The following is a 6821-nucleotide window of genomic DNA, read 5'->3' as shown; positions in this document are numbered from 1 at the left end:
TCCCACCTCTGATCTAATGGTATAAAATTTTACATATACATGCATACAACTTTATATCCTGAGGACAGGAAATGCACCTTTTACTCAAGCACTCAGGGAACACTTAAAGAAATATAACAGGAGAATTTCTAAGATAGTCAAAATGGTATAGATGATATTTTCTGACCACAATGAAATAAAACTCAATAACAAAAGAGGAAACAAAATAACTTCTTTGACAGATATAACAGAGCAGCTCAATCAATAGGACTCTAACTCATTTGTCAGATTCCTTCCTGTGGACAAGAGCCAGAAGGCCAAAGTCTGCATTTTTCCCATTCCCTTGAGACTAAGGTTCTGTAAGGGCCTGCCTTTCACCAAAGACACATATCTATGAGAGACTTGGAAGCAGAATTGAATTTTGTAAGGGAAGACCATGGCTGCTCAGGCAGGTATCATCTGGGAGTTTGGTTTTTCTGCAACAGTTGCAGTGGAGTGTTTTGGTGTCTAGTCATTATCTTTGTGAGCAGCAAAGGAGAGGTGGTAGCAATGAACTTTTTACTGGCACAGTACAGTGGGTCATTGATCCTGACCATACTGCTTCTCATAAAATATCTAGGCTTGATCCTCTAGCTCATTCAGAAACTCTGAAAGCTAAATAGACCCCATAATAAATTCCTGTCTTCATAAACTGGGGAGTATGTTCTGTTGTCTGTAACTAAGAACTTGTTCAAAACAACCCCAACCACTTGAAGGTTTTACAACTGTCTAAATCTTTGTAACTCTTTTAAAGGTACTAAGTGGCAGGGCCAGCACTAGAAGTGCTGTTTGTACTGAGCCATGAAGCCTCAGTTGAATGTATATCATATGCTGTGTCACTCATATTTCAACCAATGATCAGATGAGTCACAGTCCGATGAGTATCTTTGGAGCCTAAAGAAAGGCTGGTTAGTGCTCTCTTTGCATATCCTCACTTTGGGTGGAAATCATGACCTAAGGGGAAGAATTTTTCTTTCCTCCAAATACAGTGAAAGATAGATGTCATAAAAAATTATGGCCCTTCTGGTTCCCCTTTAGATCCTCTTCCTAGTAAAGTGAAACTCAGTGACTAAAATACACACACACACACACACACACACACACACACACCCCTAAGACAACCCACTGAATTCAAGTTAATCCTTTCTACCCCAAAGCTATAAGTTGCTCAGCAAGTTCAGAGTCATTGGGAAGCCAGAGGAAAGGCATTTCAGAGAAACAAACATCATAGGTTTGGGACAATAAGAAAAGATAGAGGAGTGGGAAGTAGCATGTGAGAGGGTGATGGGTACAGGCAGGTGCAAAAGACACCACGTACGAAGTTATAAATTGTTCACTAAGAGAGAAGGGAGAAACAGCATCAGCAAATACAGAAAGAAGTGAAGGACACACTGGGCTGCTAGGACCTTTCAATCATCAATTTACAAGGCCATAGGCAGGGAATTCCACGCCAGAGGTTGCTACTCTCCAGGCTAGCTGGCTGTCCATGTGGAGGCCCCAGAAAAAACCTGTACAACAGGAACTACCATCATTAACATAACCAATCAGGTCTGCCTTCCTAAACAGTTGAAGGACAAAGGAAGTAAGAAATTGGTAAATTGGTAGAGGGGGCAGGAACAGAGACACTTGGAAAGAAGGCAGTTAAGCCAGAGGAAAGCAAAAGGCCAGAAAACAAAGAGACAACAGAGCAGGAAGTCAGTAATGGCAGATGCAGCAAAACTGAAGACAGAGAGAAACTGATTCTCTATAATGGTGGAACAGCTGCCAAGCCTGGAGAAACAGAGGCAGTGAGAAAGGAAGCTTGTTGTGGATAGAGTGACTAACAGAAATCAAACTATGCTGTATTCTGAAAATGACTCCAATTTCTCTTCTTCCATAAGCCCAGGTTAGGCCACTGTTTCTATTCTTGCAACTTAAGAGAATCTATCACTATTAACTAAGTTTGCAATTATTCATTTAGACCAGATTTATGATAAATTGCCACTGTGAAGGAGTCATTTTAGTTTAACAATGTCTTAGCTATGGTTGAGCATTTATATAACATTTTTCTCTTCTGGTTTAGGGCCAGTCACAAACTGCCTGAATATAATTAGGTGTCTTGCAATTAATGACCTACACTCACCTGCCACTAACAAATGTCTTTTTTACATTTAAATCAGATAGTTTGAAGTCTCTGGTACTTCTGTAGAAAAGTTACCATTCAAAAAGCTACTAATCAACCCAAAAGCCCATCAATGACAGACTGGATAAAGACAATGTGGTAAATATACACCATGGAATACTATACAGCCATAGAAAGAACAGGATCATGTCCTTTGCAGGAACATGGATGGAGCTGGAGGCCGTTATCCTTAGCAAACTAAGGCAGGAACAGAAAACCAAATACTGCATGTTCTTGCTTATAAGTGGGAGCTAAATGATAAGAACTCATGGACCCAGAGGGGAACAACTGACACTGGGGCCTCCTTGAGGGTGGAGGGTGGGAGGAGGGAGAGCTTACTAGGTACTAGTAAGGTACTAGGCTTAGTACCTGGGTGACGAAATAATCTGTAAACAAACCCCTATGACAAGAGTTTACTTATATAACAACCGGCACATGTACCCCTGAACCTAAAAAAGGAAAAACCTTAAAAAAGAAAAAAGAAAGTTACTATTTCAACTTATTCAATTTATTCCTTCCCACAAAAAAGAAACTGCATTTTCCCACTGCAAGAGAACTGAAGGACTTTTTCTTTCTTCTTTTTTTTTTTTAAAATTCAAACCTTACTCCAAGTCTTCTAATATAGGAGTGATTGTTTTAGGAGCATTTAATATTGCAGTATAAGTTAAACCACTGCTGATCAGCATCCATTTACACAGGGACTTATATGCCTATTGCTTACAAAGTATGAGTTAATTCCTGGATTCATTAACAACTCTTTTTCCTGTGTTTAAAACAGCGTGTCTTGTTATGTTGCCCAGGCTGGTTTCAAACTCCTGGCTTAAAGCAATTCTCCTGTCTGAGCCTCCCAGCAGTTTAGAGCTGTGAGCCACTACACCTGGCCAACCACTCTTTTCTATCATGCTTTTGTACCCACAGTGAAATAATAGTTTAGAAACCTAGCTTGTGTGCTAATACCAAAGCTACTGATTGCTGGAAAACTTAATGCTCAAGGTCATGAAGCAGAGTTAGTGCTTGGGAATATTTTCGTTACCTCCTTTCCTGATAATGCTGTAAAATGATTGAAATATCATTGAAAATACAAAATACTATTCTTGTAGAGTTTATCAAAAGATTGAAGTATTATGCCTCCTCTTCATAGACACTCCTTTAAATCTCATAACACAAAAATGCAATTTAAATGTTTGCTTTTGCCTGATATTCCATTAAAAAGTAATCTAAAAAGCTTGGAGAAATTAAAGGCCCACTGTTATTTGCAGAAGTGACCTCTTCTGATGAATAACATTTTGAAGGCAATATGGCTGTGCTTTTTAAAACTTGAGTCTTTATTTGCAAAGGAATCACTTAGGATACTCAGTTTAAAAATCAAGTGTCCTCTTTATATTTCCATTCAATTTTGCTGTGAGCCTAAAATTGCTGTAAAAAATAAAGTCTATTAAAAAAGAACTAGATATAGACCTTACACCCTTCACAAAAAAATCAAATAGACCATTGTAAAATGCAAACTACAAAATTCCTAGCAGATAGAAGAGGAGAAAATCTAGATGATCCTGGCCATAGCAATGACTTTTTAGATACAACTCCAAAGGCATGATCCATAAAGAAAGAACTGATAAGCTGGACCTCATTAAAATAAAAAACTTCTGCTCCATGAAAGGCGCTGTCAAGAGAATGAGAAGACAAGCCACAGATGACAAAAAACATAGCTGATAAAGGACTGTTATCCAAAATATGCAAAGAATACTTGAAGTTCAACAATAAGAAAATGAATAACCAGATCAAAAAATGAGCCAAAGATCTTGACACCTCACCGAATAAGATATAGATGACCAATAAGCATATAAAAAGATGTTCCACATCACGTGTCATCCAAGAAATGCAAGATAAAATAATGGAATACCACAACATACTATTAGAATGGCAAAATCCATAACACTGATACCACCAAATGCTAGCAAGGATGTGGAGCCACAGGAACTCTGATTCATTGCTGATGGGAATGTGAAATGGTAGTGTCACTATGGAAGACAGTATGGTGGTTTCTTACAAAACAACATTTACCAGCAATCACACTCCTTGGTACTTATCCAAATGAGATGAAAACGTATGTCCACGTAAAAAGCTACACACAGATGTTTACAGAGCTTTATTCATAATTGTCAAACTTGGAGGCAACCAAGATGTCCTTCAGTAGGTGAATGGATAAACTGTGGTACATCCAGATGATGGAATATTATTCAGTGCTAAGAAGAAATGAGCTGTCAAGCTATGAACAGACGTGGAGTAAGCTTGAGTACATGTTATTAAGTGAATAATAAGCTAGTCTGAAAAGACTACCTACTGTATGATTCTGGAAAAGGCAAAACTATGGAGACAGTGAAAGGATCAGTGGTTGCCAGTGGTTTGGGGTGAGTGGGATGCATAGGCAGAGCACAGAGGACTTTTAGGGCAGTAAAACTATTCTGTGTGATACTATAATGGTGATTACATGTCATTAGAAATCTGTCCAAACCCATAGAAGGTACAACATCAAGAGTGAGCCCCAATGTAAATTACGAACTCTGGGTGATAGTGTTGTGACAATGTAGGTTCATCAACCGTAACAAACATGCCACCACGGTGCAGGATGTCAATAGTGAGGGAGGTGGTGTGTTTGAGCAGAGGGTATGTGGGACCTCTCTGAGCTTTCCATTCAATTTTGTGATGAATCTAAAAGTGCTCTAAGAAATAGTCTATTTTAAAAATAATAATGAAGTTCCCTAGACCCCACACCAGATGCAGTAAATCAGACAGAATCGTAAAGAGCAGTCATGAACCAAGGAATATGATTTTTAACAAATTTCTTTGGAGGCCAGATCATTGGCCATATGAGGAAGGAAAAGGTGAGAGAACGTGATGAAGGGATGACAGAAACTAACACTGGTATTTCTGTGTCCCAACTTCAGAGATTCAGGTTCAGTAGCTTTAAGGCGGGGCCTAGAAATCCACATTTAAGAAACTCCTTTGGTGCTTCTGATAAGAGGGCAAGACATTCCTACCTCCAAATGGGAGCTTTCTGGAAGTAGGATTAAGAAAAAGGGGCTTGAGGTTGAAAAAGAGGTGAAAATGGCAGACAATATTTCTTTTCTGATGTGAAAATAAAATACTGTTTTGTCAAAAAAATAAAAAAAAGATAGCCAAAGGCAATGAAGAGAGGATCTGAGCAAAGGACAAAAGAACCAGAGGCAATTCCTCCTCCTGAGGAATAATTATTTCTGCAAGAAGACAGTCTTGCTGCGTGTCTCACAAAGTCATGTAGGTGCACATTCCTCACCATGATTTCGTGGAGAAGAGGCAGATGACATGTTATCTTTGGGGATTTAGCCTCAACAACAGATTAAGTAGTAAAGCTCTAACACACCAATTAGCAGAGCTGTAGCTTCTAAATGCCACAATACAAAGCACTTATCAAGAACAGGCAAAAACAACTGGCAGGTCTTTAGGGGAAAAACTGGTTCATCCAATGGGTAAGAAAAAAATGAAAAATTTTTTAGATGACATTTAAAATGTAGCAAGTCAGTAACTGTGCTCATGGAATAGCACCTATAATTGGGGTAACTGTATGAGTTATTATCCAAAACAGGACACTTTTGAGTTAAAGAGGCTTTTAATAATTATGCCAGCAAAACAGGTATAGAATAGGACTCCCCAAGTAAACCAGAATGAATGGCTCTCAAACTGTGGTACTTCCCTGGATATTAATAGACCGAATAATCATGATATATAATAACTAAAATGTTCCACAGAGGAATTGGCCTTAATTACAAAGTTAGAAACCACAGATGGTGTTAATACAAGTTCTTTTCTCTCTCCACCCATATCCTTGGTGTGAAACATCAAATAGCCCTTTTATAATTACAAAGCACAGCAGTAATTAATATTGATCTCAGAACTCAGTAAAGGTCAACACTAATTTATAGAAAATTTTGGATTCAATCTAGTTTTTACTCTGGAATTGATGCAGTGGGCAGTGTTTCACCAGCCCCAACACCATCACCATGATGACGACAGGCACAAACTTGGAAAAATTGTCTGAAAAAGTTTTTTTTTCTAAAGATATAGCACACTTCTGTATGGATCTTGAATCCCTAGTGAAATGGTGCCTTCATTATGAAAAGAAACATCTTTTCATTGGGTTTCTAAGCTGAAGGAGTTTGGTTTTTCTTTTCCACTTTAACAAATATTAATTAGGGTCTACAGTATGCTACACTCTGCCCTAAGTGACAGATAAAGCAGTGGACAAACAGACCAAATGATTGTCAACTCAATTAAAAATACTGTTTAGTCATCTGTCATCTTTGAGACTAATGGTTCACAAACCTGACTGCACATCAGAATTACTAGGGGAGCTTTTTAAAAAATATTATGCCTCGTCACATAAAAACCTATACACAAATATTCATGGTAGAATTACTCATAATAGCTAGAAATAGAAACAATCCAAATGTGCATCAACTAATGAATGGATAAATTAAAATGTAAGGTATACATAAAATGGAATACTTTTTACCAGTTAAAGAGAATGAAGTTCTGACACACAGATGAATCTTGCATCTAAGTGAAAGAAACCAGACACAAAAGACCACATATTCTATGGTTCCAT

Source organism: Homo sapiens, chromosome 5 (assembly GCF_000001405.40).
Source record: "Homo sapiens chromosome 5, GRCh38.p14 Primary Assembly".
NCBI classification, from domain to species: Eukaryota; Metazoa; Chordata; class Mammalia; order Primates; family Hominidae; genus Homo; species Homo sapiens.
The sequence above is the reverse complement of the archived record's forward strand: the minus strand, read 5'-3'. Positions refer to the sequence as shown.